At 38.7% G+C, this 24810-nt stretch overlaps 1 long non-coding RNA gene across 1 annotated transcript; it reads right to left on the bottom strand.

Annotated features, from left to right (window-relative positions):
• Positions 1-4319: 4319 nt before the first annotated feature.
• On the bottom strand, positions 4320-21575 carry LINC02880 (long intergenic non-protein coding RNA 2880). Its single transcript, NR_027060.1, has 4 exons — positions 21218-21575; positions 8910-9019; positions 6505-6855; positions 4320-5506 (listed from the first exon to the last, which is right to left on the bottom strand). It is a non-coding gene; the product is annotated as a long intergenic non-protein coding RNA 2880 (long non-coding RNA).
• Positions 21576-24810: the final 3235 nt, after the last annotated feature.

The raw sequence follows: 24810 nt of genomic DNA, 5'->3' as shown, positions 1-24810 counted from the left end.
TGCACACATTTACTCAGATATCCTGCCATTGCTTCAAGCTCAATGTGTTCAATGTTAAATTCATTAGCTTTTACTCCAAATTGACTCTCTTTCCCAACTACAACATGTGTGTCAATAACCTAGTTACCTCCCCGTCTTTGAGTATCTTTCTCCCTGGTTTCCTATATTCAGTCCATTATTCATTTGTTTCTTCCTTTATAATATCTCTCAAATATGTCCATTTAAAATCATATATTAACATTGAACATCTATTATATACTAGGTGTTATAAACTGAACATTTTTTTTCCTCCCATAAAATTCGTAAGTTGAAATTCTAACCTCCAACGTGATAGTATTAGGAGAAGCCTTTGGGAGATAATTATGTAATGAGGGTGGAGCCCTCATGAATGAGATTAGTGCCTGTATGAAAGGGACTGCAGATTGCTCTCTTGCTCTTTTTCTGTTAGGTGAAGATACAGTGAGAAGATGGCCATCTATAAACCAAGTAGTGGGCCCTCATCTAACACCAAATCTCTTGATGTCTTTATCTTAGACTCCCTTGCCTTTAGAAGTGTGAAAAATAATGTTTGTTGTTTAACACAGTCTATGGTGTTCTGTTGTAGCAATTTAAACTGATCAAAACACTAAGCATTTAAAAACCTTTATAATTTAGTCTTTATAACAATTATGTATGCTGATTTCACATCCATTTTATAAGTTGAGAAAATGAGGTTTAAGGAAGTTGGGTACCTTGCTTGAAGTCACAGAGTTTATGAGTTGTTGGGCTGGGATTCAACTCCAATTTTTCTGATTTTGAAGTCCATGCTTTTCCTAGTAGCACATGGATTTTTTTCACTGAATTTTACAGCAGTAATCTTCCTCATTTCCTCCATGCATGGTGGCCAGAGCCTCTGAGTTTGTCTTTCCCCCTTCCAATCTCTTACTGCTTCAATCAACCCTTCTCAATGTATCTCCCCTGCCAGGTTAATTTTGCTTAAACATGTATATCCCAAAGATATAGGTCCTCAAAAAAAAAAAAAAAGCTTTTTATTGAAACTGGCAGGAGAGGGAGCAGTGAGTTTCCAGTGGCTTCACAGAACTTCAATTATTCTGCTCCCAGTAACATTTTCAAAAAGAAAAAAAGGAAGTTATAAATAATCAGAAGAGGACAAAACAGTTAAAATCTTCAAGAGTACTTGAATGAGACCTCAAGTCAGGTGAAATCTAGAGAGGAACAAGATGTGGAGAAGGGACAAGCCCATGGTCCAGATGTTGTTTCCTTTCCCCTCTGTTCCTTCCTATGCACCAAGAGGAGGAGGGTCCCTCTGCACAGCACAAGAGAGCTGGTCTGGGAAACCTACCAACAATCCACAATGGAAACTGGAAAAGGAAACTGATGTTTTGATTAAGTGAATATTTGAAATTATTTCATTCCAAAGAAAAATATCCCAATGAAAGTGCCAAACATTCAATATTCACAAACAGAAAACAGATGCAACATGTGTTCAGTTTGAAACTGAGTTGGGAATAACTCTCATGAAGCTGAGTGAGGACATATTTAAACAATATAATTCATAATAGCTTTGGAGAGGTTTCATAGAGGATACAAAAGAGTACTATACACACATTTAGCTATCCCTAGAGTATGTGCATGAACCAAATATAATAAATATATGTCTGCTATTTAGCTTTGCAATTTCCACATGCTTTTTAAATGATGGAATTACTTACCATATAAGACACTAAAATATTTTTTTAGCAATATATATACTGGTAATGTTTTTAGAACCAAATTATCAAAATAATTAACCAGTGGAAAATTTTTTTTTTCTGCTTCCCTAGTTCAATCCTTTCCTGAAAAAATTTTCTACTTCCTGATTTGGAAAATGAATTTGGAGCCAAGATTTACTTTCTCTTAGAAGGAAACCTTCAACAAAGCTTTCTCATCCTTTGATCCTCTTAGAAAAATGAGGCTATCTCTCTTCAGAAAACAAAATTCTTTGATTATTCATTTTTCAGTAACTTAAAAGTGTTTGGAGTGCAAAAATAAAATCATAGTTTTAAAGTGGTAACAGAATGGCTAAATTTTAGCTAATCTTTCATCCAAGTAGATCAAAAAGTTTTAACAGGCCTGTAAAATGCTTCCACATGTTTCTAAGCAGAAAGCTGAGGATGGATACTAAATTGTGACATTTTACAGTTTATACTGTCATCAGTATTTTGTATGTATTTTTTATTGTTGCTGTTGTTCTTTATTTCAAAAAATGAGGTTTTCCACATTTTGAATGTGTTGTTTTAGCAACAGTTCCCACATTCAAAACAAATTCACATAGAGTCTAGTCAACAAACATGATTGAGTGCTTGCTATGTGCAAAACACTATACTGTGCTGTTATGAAATTTTCCATTTGAATTAAACTTTTATATTGGTTTATTTATGTGCTAATTTTACTGACTAATTTTTTGGAACAAATTTTCAATGTGATTTTCCTTATTCTAGTTCCTCACTATCCTACTGTGCAATTGACCATGTACCTCTGAAGTCTCAATTAATATATATATTATGCATTCGATAAAATAAAAAATGAATTATGTTAAAAATGTGATATAAGATTAAATATTGAGTGAAATTGGAAATATATAGTTACAGTATGTGGACTAAGAATGCTGCAATATAAACAGATATGTGAACACTAAGGTATCATGGTAGATTATATCATTGGCCCTGATTGCTCTGCCCTACTCTCCCTCCCCGGCATCTACACTCTTTACCATGCCACTTTGCAATGCTTTCCCATAGTAGACACAGCATAATTCTCTATCTTAGGCTTAGTCATGTGAATTGCTTAAACCAACAGAATGAGACAGAAGTGACAGTGTGCTAGCTCCAAGATTAGGTCTCAAGAAATTTTGCATGTTTCCACTTTCTCTCTTGTGTTCTTGCCATCCATGAGAAGGATATGCCAGAGCTTGAAGTTCACAGGTGCTTGAAGAAGAAATTTAGACATTTGGAGATGAGTTCCCCCAGCTAAAGTACCCTACACAGATCTAGCTTAGAGCAGGTCTCCTAGTCAACCTATAATGTGACCCCAGTTGATAGCAGCTTGTGAGTTTGCTAGGGCTGCCATAACAAAGTATCAGAGACTATGTAAATTAAAACAACAGACATTTATTTCCTAACAGTTCTGCAGGCTGGAGATCTAAGATCAAGGTGTCAGCAGGTCTGATTTCTTCTGAGGCCTCTCTCTGTGCCTTGTAGATGGCTGTCTTTATGTTCACATGGTGTTTTCTCTATGCTCAGGTTTGTGTCCAAATCTCCTCTTTTTATAAGGATACCAATCTTATTGGATTAGAACCCACCCTTATGACCTCACTTTACCTTAATTACCTCTTTAAAGACCCCATCTCTGAATACAATCACATTCTGAGGTACTGGGGATTTGGATTTCAACATATGAATTTTGAAGGCCATAATTCAGTCTATAATGTCAGTGAAGCTCAACCTAAGTCAGTCAATACTTAGTCCTCAGGTGTCCCACAGATTCATGGGCCATAATAATAAATTACTACTTCAAGGCTTTGTTATAAAACATTAGCTAACTTATACAGATAGTATGAAAAGGTATTTAAATAATTATTGGATGATGAGATTTTTAGTAAATAAAAATTTTTTAAGATTGCTGCTACATATTATTTTAAGCTAGTTACATTTATTTCAGAATGTAAACTAATACTTTTTCATTACTATAAAAACAGAAAATGTAGTAATACATACAATATAGAAACAAATATCACTTATCATCTGCCTCCCATCTCATCCATGGAAACTTGTGTTGAATATCTTCCAATTATTTCCTATTTACAAACACACACACACCCATACACATTTTTACACATATACCCATACATTTTTTTTTACGAAAGGCATTATATTAAACATATTTTAAACTGTTTCTATTTTTTAAATAAGTTTTTTTCCCAAGGATAATGTTCTATGTAAATAAGTATAGAGCAACATCGTCTCTTTAATGACTGCATAGTATGCCATTTTACCATAATTTACTTTTTAATGACTATTATTTAGATTGCATTAATTTTTCAGAAGTTTCTTTTTTCTATTTTTTTTTAAAGATGAAATAGTATTTCTTCCTAAAATGCTTTGAGGTTTGGAGTTGAAAGAAATAACACATGCAGAGACTATTACCATCTCTTGTTTACTGTACAGTTCGACTTCAGCCAGCTTTACATAGATGGCTTTAACAAAGCCTAAAGTATAATGTATTTGGCCTTGGTGCAGAGTTCAGCGAATCGAAATGAGGATGATGATAACAGCAGAGCTGGTGTTCTCATTTTATTAAACATTAATTCAATCAATATCTATGAGTTACCTATAATATCTTTGAGTTACCTACAAAGTATATGACACTGTCCTACCCGTGACAGAAATGAAGTAGACACATGTGGTTTCAAATCTCCTCCTGCCTAGCAGGGGGAGCAGACAGGGATGTTCCTGGGTAATCCTAAGGACTCTCCACCTTCAATCCACAAGGTTGCATATGAGATAATGAAAGAAGCTCAGTGTAAATGGTCAGAAGAAACATTTGCCTTTCAAGGTTTTCTAATTTTATAATGGATAACATTAAAATAGCTTTTCTTAAGAGCACTAATTTTCTTTTTGTTTTTTCTTTCTGAGTAAGAGAAAGATAAAACTCTCGTTTTCCTAATAACAGGATATGTTTAACAACCCTGAATATCTTTCCAAGTGAGAGCCTCCTAGGCAAGTATTTTCTGAGAAGTCTTTGGTGTAGTCTCTGACCCTTCAACTTTGGCCAGCCATCTGTCAATTGCAGCTCTGGTCTCTTTCCTGCTTTCTGCCATCTCATCTCTGTCAGTGTGGCCACAACAGGAAGTCAGTGCTGATAACACGAGGACAACCTCTGCTTTTACAGCCCACCCGAACCAAGGCTGGCTGCATGGCTGCTGCCATTTGTTCTATAGTTTTGGAACCCCACCTTGGTTGTGATTTTGTGCCAGAGAATCTTTACCTCTGGAGAATGCAGTGGAGACATTCTTGTGTCATTTCACTTCCAGAATGCAAGGCCACCCAGCTACCCATTGTGTTAAGTAATGAGCTAAACAGAGGTATTCTTCTCTGCAAAATTGGAAACCTCATGGGAGGAAACAATATTTTTATCTGAGCACACACTGTCTGAATTCAGATCAGTGTGATCCATAAATTGTATAAACTCCATGCCAACCTACTTTCTTCACGTCCATCAGTAAATTTAGAAAGCACAGATTAGTGCAGCTATATTGAGTCTTTATTTCATTTAATGCTTTTAGCAATGCTAAGTGTTTTCAATATTAGGTTTCTAGGAAACCAATACTCATGCTGACAGATAATGTAAATGACAAGCATACTTACCACATACTTACCTCTGGATACACACTCAGTGGATCTGAGGTTCAGAAGAGTGAGGCTGGGGACCAACAGGTAAACATCTTTTCAATCAAAATGACAAAGGTCTGAGTCAAGGAGCAGGATCAGATTTGATATTGAAATATTTGTTGACAGATGAAATACAGAAAGTTGTAGATGTTAGTGTCATAATAACAACAATAGCAACAACAATAATGATAACCCAACCACAACTAATTATTGAATGCTTCCTCTTGCTATGATCCTATGTTGGCCTGATACTATGTTAAGTACTTTATCTATATTAACTTGTTTCTTCTCCACAACAACATCACGAAGGCAAACATTATTACTGTTATTATTATCAGTATTTTAGATTGAGGCACAAAGCTATTAAGTGATTTAGGTTATTAAGTGACAGAGTTGAGATTTTTACCAGGCTCTTAATTACTGCATTATACTACTTATGTGCATTTATCTTTCACTGTCCTTTGCCGTACTGTCAAGCTATTATGACTTTTATAATAAAATAATGAGTATGAACACTTATTTAACAGGAAGGGTGGATTTTTGGCTCAAGATTCCTTATTTGAAGAGGATCACCACTGGAGGCAGCTAAGACCCAGCACTGCCAGTGGGGGCTTTTAATACCCATTACAGCTGTTGCCACATTTCCTATTTGAATCCTTCTAAATTAATAATGAAACAGGATTTCTAAAGAGTTGCTTTAAGACTTTTACACAGAGCTTTCTGTTGACAAAATGCATTGCATGTGCAGAGTGCACCCTCTATAATGTAGGCCCTGGGTTGTCCGGTATGGTGTGCTCACCACAGGTAAAAAGAGATCCAGCTTCACCATCCATACCTTCTACATAGGTAACCCCCCACGCTTTTTCCTAGGCCCATGACTAAGTCTCCCTTTCCTCCTTACCTCATCTTCTCTTGGCTCACTCTAGGGGTGTTACTGGTACTAGCTGTGCATACACCTCTGCCTTCACCCTCCTTGAGAGTGGTGTCACCTTCAATCCACAGATAACAAACACAGCAATGCAGGCAGCCAGGGAACTGGAGGCAGATGACAAAAGACACATTGCTATTCTCTTACCTGATCTATCAGGTCAGCAGAAAATACCTTCTTGGGAGCACAGCAAGATAACCAACAAGTCGGGAGGGAGGGTGCAGTTTCCGTTGCAGCTGAAGAAACTTCAGAGTGATGAACAAACTCGACATTTCCTACTGAAGCCATGTCCACACTCATCTGTATCCACATTTGCTTTTCCAAGTCGTGAATCGAACAGAGTTTGGTGTAAGCGTTGCATGTCCCAGTAATTAAATCCCTCTCAGCCTCCTCATTAAGGCCAGTGAAGTCTGTGATAACTGGTATTTTAGTTGACTGTAGACGAGTCTTTCAAAATGCATTGTAATTTGTCCTTCTGTGAATCCAGGCAGCGATCAACTACAAGTAGAAACTATGTCAATAATCCCATGTTTTCAACAGTAACCAATGCCTCACCTGCTAAGGGCCAAGAGTGCACAGTAAGATGGGCTTGGCTGCCAGACACCAGAGCTACTACACAATTCACTGAATGAAGATGTGAATTCTAAAGTCACAGCCACTGCTCCTGGCCTGGATCTGTGCACGTGTCTAAAGCCACGTGTTGGGCCTTGGAATCTTAAAATTCCCTAAAGGAAATTCTCTACAGAAATCAACCTTTCTCTTATTCTGAGAGTTGCTTTTATTTTGCTTTTTTTTTTGAGTTCTGTTGACCAGGCTGGAGTGCAGTGGCGCAATCTTGGCTTACTGCAGCCTCAACCTCCTGCACTCAAGTGATCCTCCCACCTCAGCCTCCCAAGTAGCTGGGACTACAGGCATGTGCCACCACACCCGGCTAATGTTTGTATTTTTTGTCAAGATGGATTTCACCATCTTGCCCAGGCTAGCCTTGAACTCCTGAGCTCAAAAGATCTAGCCATCTCGGCTTCTCAAAGTGTTGGGATTATAGGCATAAGCCGCTGTGCCCAGCCTAAGAACTGTTAACAATTGCTTCCTCAATTAAATATGCAAATTGTTTTTCTATTGATTTGTAATACAAGCCATTATTTTAATATAGGACTTTATTGTTTTTACTGAATACTTTGAATGTAGTACATAATACATTCACATTGTCTAAAAATTTTAAAAAAAGAAATATATAAACTTTCCTTCCTATTTTGCTTTCCCAACTCTTCCTTACCACCATGGCTAACCATGTTTTTCAGTTGCTTGTATTGTTGCAGAGAGTTTTAATGTGTAGAAAAGTAAATAAAAATACATAAGCACATAAGCACATAATCTTTAAGAACAAATAAGGTAGAATTCATTCATTCATTCACTTGTTAGTCAACAAAAGTGGCATCATCATGTGGCTAAGAGCATGGACTTTAAAGTCAAGTAGACCCAGGTTTGGAGTCTGGCCCTATCCCTTACCAGTTGTGCCTTACAAAGTATTTATAGCACATATATCCAAAAAAGCCCTGGTCTTCAAAATATATAAATACTAGTATAAATCAATAAGCAATAAGCAATAAGCCATCAAGCTACGAAGCCTGTGGCTTCATTTACTCAACAGCAAAATGAGGATAAGAATATCTACTTACAGGTATGTGAGGATAGAATGCAAACAAAAATTTGAAGCACTAATCACAGTGACTACCACATAATTGGTCTCAGAAAGTTACTAATTATTGTTACCAGGTGCCTATTATATGCTACATACTTTAAACATGTCAGTCACAATTTCCAACCTTAAGGAGCTTGCAAAAATAACAAGGAAGATGGATGTCATTTCAAAATTTTAAAAAATTCTTAGAAAAGCACAGTTAAGAAACAAAAAGGTAAGCCATAGAGTTGTAGAAAATGTTTGCAAAACATCTGACAAAGGACTTGTAACCAGATATATAATAAATCCTTATATATATAACCAGGTATATAATATAAATATATAAATATTTATATATTTATATATAATATTATATATTTATAAGTATATAAATATATAAATAATAAATATATAATATACAATATATAACATATTAATATATTCATATTAATATAATATATCAATATAAATATTAATATAAACATATCAATATAAATATTTATATATAAATATAAATATTAATATAAATATATGTCAATATAAATAAATATATTATATATTAATATATAAAATAAATAAATATATATATAATAAATATAAATATATAAATAATAAATCCTTATATATAACCAGATATATAACCTTATATATATAACCAGATATATAATAAATCCTTATAACTTACTAAGACAAACAACACAATTAAAAAGAAGGCAAAACACTTAAACAGGTATTTCACCAAAGAAGATACAGTAATAGTTAATAGACACTGTGAAAAGAAGCTCAACACAATTAGTAGAGAAATGCAAATTAAGACCAAACAATACACCACTACACACCCCTAAGTATGGCTAAAATTAAAAAGACTGACCAATATTAAGTGCTAGTGAGGGTGTAGAGCAACTGGAACTCTCCGATGTTGCTGATGAAATATAGTCTGGCATTTTCATATGATCCAGCAATCCCACTGCTAGGTATTTACTGAAGAAAAATGAAAACATAAGTTTATACAAAGACTTGTATGCAAATGTTCATAGCAACACTGTTCACAGAAGCAAAAGAGAAGCAATGCAAATGTCCATTGACTGGAAATTCAATATATTGTAATAAATTTTTATAAAATGAATACACAGCTGATATAGACAACAACTTGGATGATCCTGAGAAACGTTATGCTAATTGAAAGAAACCACATAAAAAGACTCCCTACTGTAATTGATTTTGCCTATATAAAATTCCAGAAAGGACAAAACTATAGCAATAAAAAGAAAATCAGTGGTTGTCTTTGGCCAGAATTTAGATGGAGTTGATTGCAAAGGGGCATCAGGAAAGTTTTTGAGATGATGAAAATGTCCTACATCTTGATTGTGGTGTTGATGATATGAGTGTATGATATAACAGATATAATCAAGCTATGAAGAAGTCATATTGGATTAGGGAGTGTCCTAAATCCATTGACTACTGTCCTCATAAGGAGAAAATGATTTGGAACAGAGAAGACACACCCAGAGGGGAATATGGCCATGTAGAGACAGAGGCAGAGATTGAAATGATGCAGCTAGCTACATTGCCACCAACCACAAAAGCTAGAAGAAACAAGGAAGAATTTGTCCTTAGAGACCTTGGAGGGAGTATGGTCTTACCAATACTTTGATGGTAGGCTTTTAGCCTCCAGAACTGTAAGACAATAACTTTCTATTGTTTTAAGCCACTTGGTTTATGATAATTTGTTATAGCAGCCCTAGTACACTAATACAGTAGTTGTACTGAATTCTATTCTCAGTAACATTGTATATTTCTTTTCATTTGCAACTCTTCAATAATTGGTATTATCAACCTTTTTACTTTCTGTAATTAAGACCATACACAACTGGTAAGGAATAAAATATTAGACCAAGAGAACAGAAAAGGAGACTCAAAAATAAACTGTCACATTTATGAACACTTGACTTATTATAAGAATATACTTCATAGCAAAGGGAAAGGCAGATGGACTTTTCATCAAATGTTGCTGAAACAATTATATATCCTTATGGGAAAAAAATGTAATTGGACCTCAATCTTACTCTATGCTCAAAAATCAATTCCACATGAATGGAAAACTTAAGCAAGAAAGGCAAAACTATAAATCTTTGAAAAAAAGCATAAAAGAATATCTTCATATCTTAGGGTAAGCAAGAAAAGGGTTAACTAATTTTAGTAGTTCAAAATTAATTGTTTCAGTCTTCTGCTTCCAACCAAGATGGTATAATATAGTGCCAGATTTACCCTCTCCCCCAGACCAACTAAAAACTAGGCAAACATATGAAACAATAGTTATCAGACATTGGGCTGTGCCGAAGAGTGATCCATGGGAGATAGCAAAAACAGAATGAGGGCAGCACTACTATTGTGGACTGAATTGTATTCCTCTATAATTAGTATGTTGAAGCCTTAACCCCCAGTACCTCAGAATGTGATGGTATTTGGAGATAGGGCCTTTAAAAAGATGATTAAGTTAAAATGAGGCCACTAGGCTGGGCCCTAGTCCAGCCTGACTAATGTCCTTATAAGAAGAGAAATTTGGACAAATAAGGAGATTCCAGGGGTGCACACCCACATACAGATAAATGATCATGTGAGGACACAGTAAGAAGGTGGCCATCTGCAAGCCGAGAAAGGAGACCTTAGTGGAAACAAAACCTTACATCTTAATCTTGGGCATCTAGCCTTCAGAACTGTGAGAAAATACATTTCTGTTATTAAAGCTGTGGTTTTAGTACCCAATCTGTGGGTATCATGTTATGGCCACCCCAGAAAATGAATACACCTATGATTGCTCCAGCTTACTTTCTGGAGAGAGTTTGCAGGCCACAGTACGTGGAAGGAGGAATCCAGATGGAACCCAGTGGTCTTTCTGAGCTGAGGAGATGGAGCTGGGAGTCTGAGAAGATCAAAATGGCTTGACTTCATAGAACAGAGTACTGGAGAGGATAGAGCTATACAGACAGAGTTTCAGATATCTGTAGCTAAGTCTTCGACTATATACTGATCAGCATAGACATGTAACCTAATGGCTGAGGTTGGAGAAAGAACCATCCAAAAGTATCAGAGGGAACAGTACTTGGATCTCAAGTAGGGCTGGAAGTAGTTTGTGTTTTTATCAGTCAGATTACAAAACCACATAATTAATGTAGCAACAGGTAGAGTTCTCAGCAGGGCATTGCCTATAGTTGGAAAAAATCAGCTCTAGACTAATGGCTGCTTTGATCTCATATAACAAAACTTAAAAGGAGGTCTAGAGAAGGTCAAGCTGTTTCTATAAATTAACTGGCTTTTGGAAAAAAGCTTAAGATTTTTTATAGATATAGAAAAATCTAGCCTCTAACAAGATAAAATTCACAATGTCTGGCAAATAAAACAATGAAAAAATAGACAATTTTATTCTTATTTTGCATCCAAAATAAGGAGAAAAAAATCCAGTCAGTAGAGACAGAATTCATAAATTATACGAGTGGTAAATTAGATGTGTAAATAGGCACATTAAAATAGTTATCGTAACTATATTCCACATGTTTAAGAAGATAGAAAATGGATTTTTCAATTCAATAAGTGAAAAAAAAGTAGAGAAAAGATTGAACACGTTATATGATGACACTAAAGACATAAAAAAGATCCAAACAAACTTCAACAGATGAAAAATACAATGTCTAAGATAAAATAATAATGGATAGGACTAAAATCAGATTAAATACTGCAGAAGAAAAGATTAGTGAACTTGAAGACACAGCAATCAAAACTATTCAAAATGTGACAAAGAGAGAAAGATTGAAAAAAAATAAAGAGAGCATTATTGAACTGTGGGATAGCATTAAGTAGCCTAATACTGTGGTTTGGCTTTGTGTCCCCAACCAAATCTAATCTTGAATTGTAATCCCCATGTGTCAAGGGAGAGACCTAGTGGGAGGTGATTGGATCATGGGGGTGGTTTTCCCCATGCTGTTCTTGTGATACTGAGTGAATTCTCATGAGATCTGATGGTTTTATAAATGGTAGTTATTCCTGAGCTCTCACAAGCTCCTTTTTCCTGTCACCATGTGAAAAACGTCTTTGCTTCCCCTTCGCCTTCTGCCATAATTGTAAGTTTCCTGAGGCCTCCGCATCCATGCAGAACAGTGAAAAGAACCTTTTCTTTACAAATTATCCAGTCTCAGGCAGTTCTTTATAGCAGTGTGAAAATGGACTAATACACCTAATAAACCTGTAATAATAGCTCCTGAAGGAGGAGAGTGAGTGTAGAAAAAATAATGAACAAAATATAATAACAACAGAAAAAATTTAAAAGTTGATGAAAACTGTGGGCCTACAGATTCAGGAAGCTCAAAGAATCTCTAGCACAAGAAACCTGAAGAAAATGTTACAAGAAATATAAAGATCAAATTGCTTGAAACCAGTGAGAAAGATAAAAATCTTAAGAGCAGCTAGAAAGAATATACATCATGTACAGAGAAAGAAATATTATATAAAAATGACACCAGATACCTCATTAGAAGCAATGGAAACCAAGAGACAGTGAGGCAGCATCTTTAAAATATTGAAAGAAAAAGACTATCAAGCCAAAATTCTACACCCAGTAAAACTAGCTTTCAAAAGCAAAAGGCTACATACTTTTTTAGATGGTAAATTTAAAATGTCTGTTTCTTTAAAAACTAAAAACAAAAACAAAAACAAACAGAACAGAGAAAGTATTTATAGCACATATATCCAAAAAAGCCCTGGTCTTCAAAATATATAAATAGTAGTATAAATCAATAAGCAAAATGGCCAGAAGACCTAATATGTACGGTACAAAAGAAGAAATCAAATGGCTAATAAATACATAAAAGATATAAAAATCTTTTAGTAGCCAAATTACAAATTACAAACCACACCGTTAAATACCTATCTTATTGGCTAAACAATGAAAAGGTCACATCTTACCTTTTCTTTTATGATTTATAAGGAGAGAGTGACAGCGATATTATTTTAAATACGTTTCTATTCAGTAAAAATAGATTTTTATTTATCTCCCTCATACGGGATAACAATGTATTGAAATGATTGAGGCAGTTTGTATAAAAACAGTTACAAATTGGTTTTCTTATTAATGAGTTTTCAGATGTCTTAAATTAGAACCAATGAGTCAGAATATTATATAAATTAAATTATGTTAACTTTTATTAATAATGTTAGCAATCATGGAACTAGAATATCCAAAGGAATATTCTTAATCTGGTAATTAAATTTGAAAGAATTGTTATAGAAAGGCTTTTGTATTTTTTTAGCTAATTAATTTTATGAGACTAGAGAAGATTGTGGTTTCATTGTGTGAGTTTATCTTATCAAAAATAACTGTCACTGTTTGAATGAAAAAAAATTTCTCATTTAGAGTAAGAACTGTATATTACTTATTTCTTTGTCCCCTGTGCTTCTGGGAGTGCCTGGGAAATAGAAGGTTGCTCACAAATGTTTTTTTGGATAGAATTTTGATGTTCTAAGATTTTTTTTGTAACCTTTAGGATAGGTTAAACTAAACTCTTATTAGAGAATTTGATTCTCTCCTCTTACCCTTACATTATCCAGTATGTTTATCAATATTGATCAACATATATCATTAAATGCTTGTCTTCAAAATTCAAATAAGTGAAGCTATAATTAAAGTCTAGCATGTGTTCATTTAAGCTGAGATTCACTTTAGAAACCCCAAGTAAGAACAATTCTACTCAGCAAGATGGAAAACTAATGATCAATGTCATAGGATATGAAGTTATATTAGACCATTCTTGCATTGCTATAAAGAAATACCTGAGACTGGGTAATTTATAAGAAAAGAGTTTTAATTGGCTCATGGTTCTGCAGGCTGTACAGGAAGCATAGCACCAGCACCTGCTTCTGGGGAGGCCTCAGGAAGCTTCCAATCATGGTGGAAGGTGAAGGGGAGCCGTTGTCTTACATGGCAGGAGCATGGGCTAGAGAGAGAGTGAGGGGGTAGGTGCCATACACTTTTTTTTTTTTTTTTTTTTTTTTTTTTGAGACGGAGGCTTGCTCTGTCACCCAGGCTGGAGTGCAGTGGCGAGATCTCAGCTCACTGCAAGCTCTGCCTCCCGGGTTCACACCATTCTCCTGCCTCAGCCTCCCGAAGAGCTGGGACTACAGGCGCCCGCACGAACGGCTAATTTTTTGTATTTTTAGTAGAAACGGGGTTTCACCGTGTTAGCCAGGGTGGTCTCCATCTCCTGACCTCGTGATTCGCCCTCCTCGGCCTCCCAAAGTGCTGGGATTACAGGCGTGAGCCACCGCACCCGGCCGGTGCCATACACTTTTAAATGACCATATCTCATGAAAACTCACTCACTATCATGAGGACAGCACCAAAGGGATTATGCTAAATCCTTCATAAGAAATCTGCCCTCATGACCCAAAATCATCTTTCACCAGACCCACCTCTAACACTGGGGATTACATTTCAACATGAGATTTGGAGGGGACACATATTCAAACCATATCAAAGTTGATTGTTATTCAGTGGAACCACCCATGAAATGCCAACTAGAAAGATGGAAAGAAAGGTGGCCAAATTATTTTCTACAACTTTAAAAAAATGTGAATAAGGGCTTATGAAACAAGATTCAAATCAAGTACAGTAAGTATTTATTGAACATCTACCATGTGACAGAAGCTGTGCAAGTTATAGCTCTTGTTTGATTCTTACAATAGCAACAGTGTATCTGTCCTAAATTAGTGATATGGTTTGGCTGTGTCCCCAACCAAATCTCATCTTGAATTGTACGCCTATAATTTCCACGTGTTGTGGGAGGGACCTAGTGGGAGATAATTTGAATCATGGGGGAGGTTTCCCGCATGCTGTTCTTATGGTAGTGAATAAGTCTCATGAGATTTGATGGTTTTATCAAGGGTTTCCACTTTTGCATCTTCATTTTCTCTGGCTGCTGCCATGTAAGAAGTGTCTTTAGCCTCCTGCCTTGATTCTGAGGCCTTCCCAGCCATGTGGAACTGTAAGTCCAATTAAACCTGTTTTTCTTCCAAGTCTCAGGTATGTCTTTATCAGCAGTGTGAAAACAGATTAATACAGTAAATTGGTACCAGTAGAGTGGGGCGTTGCTGAAAAAATACCCGAAAATGTGAAAGCGACTTTGGAAGTGGGTAACAGGCAGAGGTTGGAACAGTTTGGAGGGCTTAGAAGAAGACAGGAAAATGTGGGAAAGTTTGGAACTTCCTGGAGACTTGTTGAATGGCTTTGACCAAAAGCCTGATGGCGATATGGACAATAGGGTCTAGGCTGAGATGATCTCAGATGGAGATCAGGAACTTGTTGGGAACTGGAGCAAAGGTGACTCTTGTTATGTTTTAGCAAAGAGACTGGCAGCATTTTGCTGCTGCCCTAGAGATTTGTGAAACTTTGAACTTGAGAGAGATGGTTCAAAGGGCATCTGGCAGAAGAAATTTCTAAACAGCAGAGCATTCAAGAGGTGACTTGGATGCTATTGAAGGCATTCAGTTTTACAAGGGAAGCAGAGCATAAAAGTTTGGAAAATTTGCAGCCTGACAATGTGATAGAAAAGAAAAACCCATTTTCTGAGGAGAAATTCAAGCTGGCTGCAGAAACTTGCATAAGTAGTGAGGAGTAAGAGAGGATGTGAATGCCCAAGACAATAGGAAAAATGTCTGATGAGGGTGACCCCTTTCTTTAAGAAATGATGGGATCTGGATGGGAAATGTGCATCTTTGGAGTTGTTTCAACTTGAACTAATTTCGAGAGAATATGCATTTATCAACGAGGACTTTTTAAAGTGTTTATTTATTTAGAGACAGAGTCTCACTCTGTTGCCCAGGCTGGAGTGCAGTGGCATTATCATAGCTGACTGTAACCTCAAAATACTTGGCTCAAGTGATCCTCTCTCCTCAGCCTTCCAAGTAGTCAGGGCTACAGGTGCACTAACATGCTCAGCTATTTTTTTTCTTTTTCTTTTTTTTGTAGAGATGGGGGTCTCAGTATGTTGCCCAGGCTGATCTTGAACTCCTGGCCTTAAGTGATGTTCCCGTGTTGGTCTTCCAAAGTGTTGGGATTATTGGCATGAGCCAAGGATCATGGACCAATGAGTACTTTTTATAGTGATGAATAATAATATTACTTCCTTTGAACATTTATAGTAAATTAGCTGATACATTAATCAGGTGATAATTGCATTTTGGTACAGTCAGAAACTCAATAAACATTATTGAAAACTGATAATTACTAATTATAACAATAATACTAGATCCTAGATGTTGAGATTCATCATGAATATTATGGAGCCTATTTGGTAACAAGCAAGAAAAAAATTGAAAGTGTAAGTTCAGTTGTAGCGGAAGATAAACTACTCATTAAAATAAATATAAATGTGTGGCAGATTTGATAAAGCAGTAAAGATGATTTTTGGCCACTAGAGGGAGCTCATACTTTAAAAACTGTTTGGAGCATCCATCGTGTTTCAAGGACCACCGCAGGTTTTAAAGATCAGTCATGATTTGCCCTCAATTGTTTTTGGAGGCTTCTTACACGCTAACATACCACAGGGATGGGTAAATAACAAAAATTGTAAGTCAATGTGACTATTTCAGAACGGGCTATAAATGTTCAAAAAAATAATCTCTGATCATACTTATTTAAAGTTAGGGATTTAATTTACTCTTCTCCCCCTAAAGTATTTCTTTGAAAAGGTATTTTCTTTGAAAAGCCACATTTCTCCCAAAAGTAAAATCTGTGGAATTATTTGTTTTCACTTATTCAGGGAATAGGAGAATTTGGGTTATAATTTTGTCCTTATGTGTATTTCACACTCTTATCTACCTCTGGAATGTCTCTTATGCCTCCTCCCTTTAACCTCAGTCCCATGGCCAGCCTTATTCACGGGCTCATTGCTTCTCCCCTGGCCTGTCATGATAGTTTCTTCACTGGTCTCCCCATCCTTCCTGACCACCCCGTCTAGTGTCTCCCAAATGCAATTGCCTTTTACGTCCATTATTTTCAGAACAATATTTTCATGAAACATATTTTTGATCACATTCTTTTCTGCTCAAAACTTCTTAGTAGCTCCCTACTTCTACAAAACAAAAAAACAAGCCCACAAACTTCTACTTGGCATTTAAGGTCCAATTCATTTATTTTATTTTATTTTATTTTATTTTATTTTATTTTATTTTTTGAGACAGAGTCTCGCTCTGTCGCCCAGGCTGGAGTGCAGTGGTGCGATGTCGGCTCACTGCAAACTCTGCCTCCCGGGTTCACGCCATTCTCCTCCCTCAGCCTCCCGAGTAGCTGGGACTACAGGCGCCCACCACTACACCCAGCTAATTATTTTTCTTTCTTTTTTTTTTTTTTTTGTATTTTTAGTAGAGACAGGGTTTCACTGCGTTAGCCAGGATGGTCTCGATCTCCTGACCTCATGATCCACCCGTCTTGGCCTCCCAAAGTGCTGGGATTACAGGCGTGAGCCACCGCGCCCGGCCTCAAGGTCCAATTCAATGCTACCTCCTTTTCAGGCCCACTGGCTTCAGGCTGGAATAATTCTGTCCCTCTCTTTTCTGAGTTCTCATGGTAGCTATTTTCTGTACAGACCTTGTGGCATACCTCCTTACTGCTTTATTTTATAGTTGCTTATGAGCATGTCTTATATCACCTCTATGGCCAACTTCCTTAAAGCATGCCTACTTGCTTGGAAACCAGAGAGGAAGCTTTGCTTCAGCAAGGAAATGATGTTGAAGGCCAATTTAAGAGATCCAGATTTGGGAGAAATTCTGATGCGGAATTGATAGAACTGGATGTTCTGGCTGCATAACAAGCCACCGCAAAATTTAGGAGCTTCAGATGAAAGCTTATTATTATCTCTGAAGCTTCTAAGGGTTGACTAGACTCAGGTGGTTCTCACTTTGAGTTTCAAGTGTGATTGCAGTCGGATGGTGGTTGGACTGGGGTCCTGTGAATGCTCAACCAAGCTCAACATCCAACACGGTTTCTTCACTTACATGTCTGGACCCCTGGGCTGGGATGGCCAAAATCTCTACAGTTTGGCCAAATATCTTGCTTTCTCCACATGTTCCCTCCATGTGGCTAGCTTGGGCTTCCTCAGTGCATGGTGGTCTCAGGTTAGATGTCTTATATGGTGGCTGACTTTCCCTAGAATAAGGAGGGAAAGAGCCCTATTCCCTAGAATAAGGGCCTTTCAAAAGGCCCGGGTAGAAGCGGCAAGGTTTCCTATGCCTTAACCTTGGAAATCCCACAGCATCACTTCCTCCAAGTGCAGCCCAGACCCAGTGTGGGAGGAGACTGCACAGGAGCATGGGTGCTAGAAAGGGTGGTTCCTCAGGAGGCCATCTCTGAAGCATGGCTACCTCGCATGCTAACATTTTCAATGGGAAAAACATCCTGCTCTGAGGAACGGAAGGGATAAGCTGAAGACACACCAATCAGAAGAATGGGAGAAGATCAGGGTGATACAAACTTAGTTTCAAGAGAAAAAAAGGTGGTCAGTCACTACTATTTAACATGTCTGCAGACCTTTTTACACTATTCTCACCGAGAGATGGGGCTATGTTTCCTCCCCTTGAAACTGGGCAGGCTTTTCTGAACGTTTTATCCAGTAGAGTATAACAGAATTCATGCTATGCAGCTTCTAAGATAAGGTCAAAACAGGGGATGCAGTTTCTACCATGCTTTCTGGAATATTTGTTCTTGAAACCTTCAGCTACTATGTGAGCAATCTGATTTTTCTGAGGCTGCCATGTTGTGAGAAGCCCAAATTAGTCCATGTAAAGACCACATGGAGAGGTTTTGAGACTACATGGAGAGATGCACAGCCAACCCTTTCCCAAAACCCTGACCCACAGAGGCTGTGAGAGATAGCATGACTGTAGCTGTTTTAAGCTGCTATGTTTTGGGGTGGTTTTGTTGTTGTATTTTGTTTTTAAAAGTCAGGGTCTCCTCTCCCTCTGTTACCCAGGTTTGAGTGCAGTGGTGCAATCATAGCTCACTGCAGCCTCAAACTCCTGGACTCAATTAATCCTCAGGCCTCAGTCTCCCAGGTTGCTAGGACTACATGTATGCACCACCACAGTTGGCTAATTTTTTTAGTTTTTAATTTTTTTGTAGAGAGGGGTTCTCGCTATTTTGCCCAAGCTGGTCTCAAACTCCTGGGCTCCAGTAAGCCTCTCACCTCGGCCTCCCAAAGTGTAAGCTACTATGTTTTGGAATGACTTTTCAGGCTGCAAAGTATAACTGGAACAGGTGAAGACTGAAAAAACCTTATATACAATGACTACGTGATTGTCTTCCTGTCCTTCTTTCTGTCTTTGCTTTTAACAAGACAGAAGCTTCTTATGATGCAGGTGTCATTCCCCACCTGCCTCCTTCTAGACAGGGGCTGGGGCCCTCCACATGAGGCCTGCTGTCCGTAGCCCCTCCACGTGAGGCCTGCTGTCCCTGGGCCCTCCACATGAGGCCTGCTGTCCCTGGGTCCTCCATGTGAGACCTGCTGTCCCTGGGTCCTCCACGTGAGGCCTGCTGTCCTTGGGTCCTCCACGTGAGACCTGCTGTCCCTGGGTCCTCCGTGAGGCCTGCTGTCCTTGGGCCCTCCATGTGAGGCCTTCTGTCCCTGGTCCTGTGGCTGCATCTTCCGGTGGATGCAACCACGGCCACATATCCATCTCATCTCTACCACATCTGAGTCACAGTTTCTAGACCAGAAAACTCTTGCTAACGTTTAGGATTTAGACAGCATCTCTTTGCTTCTCTTTTCCCAATTTTAGACTTCCCTTGTAAGGAATGAAAACCATTATAATTCTGAGAAACCTAGGCCAGACAAAGCCTCATGGCCATTTTCCTCAGCTCATAGTGCCCTACTAGGCCAGGGGCAAGGTCACTCTCCCCGCAATCCACCCATCCTGCTCCAAGTCAGGAGCCCTCACAGAGTTTCTCAGCTTCCCACTAGTAGGTCTTTGTTCATCGCATTCTCCCACATTGAAGCAAATTGGAGCTACCTTCTTTTTTCCCTCCTCTTGGGAGTTGCTTTATTTTGGGTTTCTTTGTACAAATTGTTGCCATAGCCCTTGATGGGAAGGATCAAGATGGATCCTCTCATCCTTCCCCTTACTGAGCAGAAGTGTCTGACCCTCTGGCCTTCTATGAACCATTGGGACCCACACACAACATGTCAGATCCAAAGAGCACTGGCCTCCGAACATGGAAGTAGGTGGGCAACTGAAGGAAAGGTGAATAGTGAGAACAGGGGAGGGGAGGACAAACGGAAGAAGGGAAGGGCCGGGAGATAAGACATTGACATGTGCAGTGAGCTTAGCTGGGCATGGTGGTGTGAGACTGTAGTCACAACTCCTTGGGAGGCTGAGAGGAGAGGGTCGCTTGAGCCCAGGAGTTCACATCTATCCTGGGCAACATAACGAGACCCTATCTTTTAGAGAGAGAGAGAGAGAGAGACCAGAAGTCCTGGACATAGCCAGGCTGTGGGCAGCCCACGGATGAGGTGAGATGTCAATGTGATCACCCCTGGAAGTGAGAAGGAAGGTACGGTGGGGTTATTGAATACACTGTGTCATTCAATTACTGTCATCGTTTGGATTTTATATGGGATGGGGGCTGGGAATTCCTGGTCTACTTGTGCTGGAGAGATGTTTAGGCTTTCTCAGATGGTTAATAGAGGGCACCAGCAGTTGTTTGGTGGCATTGGAGGAGCAGCTTTTTGTATCCCAAATGACCCTTTTCAGATAAAATTGAAGCTGGATTGAGACTTCGGGAGGATAAGTATAAAGTTGTAAGTGGGTGGGATAGAGAACAGCCATGCGAATGTCAAATCTCCTGTCTTTTCACTCCTGTCTTAGGCCGAATGTGAGGTGCCCCGTTCTTTCCTTTGGTGGAGCCTTTGAAGATTTTTCTTTTCTTTAAAGCTCACTTAGCAGTTAAAGACTTGAGATGGGCTGTAAAGCTGTGAAAAGCCTGGGAGGAAATGGTGTTGACATGAAGGGGTAAAGCCAAGCTTGGAGGGGTGCCAGTGGCAGGGACCCACACTAATTCCTCTTGTTCTTATGCCCTTCTAAATATGTCTCTGAAGCACAGGAGAACATTCCTAGGGAAAAACAACGTCCACTCACCTCATTCCAAGAAAATCTGTAACAACGTCCAATTGTCTTTGAGAGGAAAGAAGATGACATTGGGAGACACAGCATCTAGAGGAAAAGCGAGAACCACTGGTCTTCCTTTCAGACTTCACAGTGGGATCTTGGCGCCTCGGATAAACAAAGGCACTGGCAGGAAGGAAAGCGAAAATCAGAGGAGAGGTCTGGCAGGCCACAGCCAGAGCAGAGGCAGTGGGTGAGAAAACCCTGGGTTTGAGGACCCTGGTTCTCTTCCCTAACAGCCTTTGGGTCCCTCTTTCTGAAACAAGGCTTGAGAGCATGTCCTCTGGCCTGGGGGACTTGGGTGAGTCTGAGGCACCCCAGGTAGCAACGATGGCAGGTTTTGCACTTGAGCTGGGGAGAAAGCCAGTGGTGCTGAAAGCAATGGAGATTGAGGTACAGAGATCTTCCTGCCGAACCCATTCCCAGGCTTTCTGCCTTTCTAGGAATGGAGAGAGAGAGAGAATGCCTTGGCTGGTTTCCTGAAATCCAGTTCATGGAGCCACAGCCCCAGTGAGTGCTCACTCAAGAAACAAAGGCTCAAGAGAGGACAGGCACCAGCTAGGAAACTCCACTCCGAAAGGGATCAGCTGTTGCACTCACAGGCACACTGCTTTGGTCCAGGAAGTCAGTAAAAGGCAAACAGGATCCCAGCGAGGTCATTTGTTTTGGAGAAGACAGAGGGAGGAGGAGGGAGGGGCAGCCGTGTGAACGTGCAGTTATGTCAGGGCCTCCCCAGATCCCTGGAACGTCCTGCCTGAGCACAACAGGGAAAACCTCCCCCTGCTCACTAGCCCTCGGGAAGTACAGTTCTCACTGAATGTCTGTCAGCATAATTAAAAAATGAACACCCTTCCAATCGCAAGATCAACGCCAAGGGTTACCTTCCTGGGGAGCTGTCCAGGGGGAGCATGGTTTCCTAAGAAAACTTTTGTGATCTGTGTAGAATATTTTTGCCCCTATTTTTTTTTTTTTCTTCTGAGACAAGATCTGGCTTTGTTTCTATCAGGACATGTTTGGATGTTCTTCCAGAAAGTCTACTGGTAAGAGAGCTCAGTTGGTCTTCTAGGAGAGATAATTGTTGACATATCAGGGGCCAAAGGCTCATCTCTTCATTCCCTGCACTTGGGGAAGAGGTGGCATCATTTCACCCTTAGAGCACAGGATAAATATTATGATTATTCAAGCAAAAAGACATTCTACTGGCTACTTTTGATTTAGCATTACAGTTTCTAATTTATCCCAAAGATGCACTGACAGAAATGGAAAGATGTATTCACAAGGCCACCTATCACAGCACAATTTGTGTATTAGAAAAAACTCAAATGTCCATCAATAGGGGACCCTCAACTATGGTACATTCACACAATGCAGTAGTACACAGCTGTAAAAAAAAGAAGAAGAATATCTCTACATGCAAGTATGAAAAGATTTCCAAAATATATAGTTGATAAATATTAAGATATAATCGTTAAAACTCAAAACAAAATGAAAAAAGTCAAACCTAACTAGATATTGAGTTGGTGGCACATCCTCTTGGGAGAAAGTATTTCAAGTGACATTAAAACCTGGGAATTGACTGTAGACCTCAAGTGGGATATACCCTTAGAACAAAAGGAACTGCAAAAACACACACACACACACACACACAGACACAAACTTCAAATGTTTCCAGTAATTACATCGTCATGGAAAGTTTTCCTATTATTATTCTGAGACTATTGTATATGTTTCCCAGTATAAAACAAGTGAGTAATATGTAGGTGTTGTTGGGAACCAGAAATTTAGGTTGAAAAGAGATGTAAATTTAAGTGGGGTCAAATAAAAGCCCTATAGTCCTGAATCAGACTTTGAATTGGAAACATTCAATTATAAATATGATGTTTTATCTACATTATCTATCTATCTATCTATCTATCTATCTATCTATCTATCTATCTATCTATCTACAGATCCATTCATTAACCTACCCCTAATCTCCTAGCTTTGTTCCCTGAAAAGGCCTAGAAACAAAGAACAACCTGTTAGCAATGATCATCCCTAACACACAGATAATGCTCCCCTACGAGTCGGGGCTCCTTAGAGAAATACCGAGCTGCAGGTCTTAGTGAAAGATGTGCAAGATGCACCTTTAACACGTGGTCCTACCTGAAAACAAGTATACTGTTGAAGACTACCATGGTTGTGTCACAAAGAGTCAAGAGCCAATTTTCAGGGATTCCCATTTGAATATCGGAAATAATAACTGCAATAAGTTAAAGCACATCAATTAAATGTAAATTTATGGGTTTATAATGAGTTTATAAAAAAAGAAGTTCCCTGGGACATGATATCCGTGTGTCAGTGACAAATCGCAATGATAAGTCCAGAGTAATAGTGTGACCACAGCAATACCAGCAGTAAGGCAGCAGAGCAGGATTCAGGGATTGACACTGGTGTAGCTGTGGCAACAGGAGCCTGAAGGCCTTGAGGAGAATGGGTGCATGATGCTGGGGCCTGGCCAGTGGACAGGAAGGCCGAGAAGGGCACAAGTGGGACTGAGGTCCAGGGAAGACCGATGGAGACTGCAATCTACAGGGAGGTCTCACTATTACATTCACCTCCACGTTGTTGCCTTCCTGGTGCTATGACCCAGGAAATTTTATGTTAGCATTAAGGAAATTGAAGTCTGTCACCCCGAGAATCTCATATTACTGTAGAAAAATCTAAACTCAGAGTTTTATTATTAAAATCAATCAATTTTATTAGAAACCAAAATGTTTTTCTGCTCTTTTATTTCAAGTAGGAAATTTGTTTGAAAACTAAGATCCTCTGCAGCCATCTCACTGGGATTCGTATCTGCAAGAGGGTTTTCTCTTGTAATTTAAACTCTCCACAGTCCACCAATAATTCCTCTTGCTCCTGCTCTCCAAGAGCTAAGTAAGTGACTCATTTCAGTTTGGCTTTAAATTTTCTGTATCAGGTCCTTCTGTGGGGGTGTGCCTGAGCAATGATTGAGGCTAAGCTTGCTTGGCTCAGGAGGCCTGATGTTTTTCCTGACTGAGGTGCCGTGATTGAATTTATGTATTTTTATGACTGTAGGCTTATTTCCTGGTTTTTCAGGTTTAAAAAGTACATTTGAAATAATAAGCTTCCTTGTTTTCTTTTGATTGAATCTATGGTGGTAATAAAAAAGTAAAGAACAGCTGTGCGGAGAGGTAACAATGACTCCATAACTTCTAGCCAACTTTGGATAACAACAAAGGCCTACAATGCAAGAGAATGGAGATATTCCTTGGGATAAACATTCTGGAAAAACCTAACCCTAACCTTTATGGTTTCCGTAATGTTCTTATTTGTAAGAGAGAAGTGATCCACAGAGTTTAAAGCCTGGAGACCCAGGAGCCGGGGGAAGCAATTTGGTAGATTTTCCTCTTACTACCCGGTCTGATGTACTGGTAAATCTAAAACCCATCATTTCTCTCTTATCTTCCTCTGTCCACGTTACACTGCTTTGATCCCCCAATGCAAGTGAACCTTTCAACTGCTGGCCTCCCCTCAGACCCAAAGCAGAAAGGGGTTGAACATTG

This window comes from Homo sapiens, chromosome 6 (assembly GCF_000001405.40).
Source record: "Homo sapiens chromosome 6, GRCh38.p14 Primary Assembly".
Lineage (NCBI taxonomy): Eukaryota > Metazoa > Chordata > Mammalia > Primates > Hominidae > Homo > Homo sapiens.
Note: the sequence above shows the minus strand (reverse complement) of the source record. Positions and strands in the feature narration are given on the sequence as shown.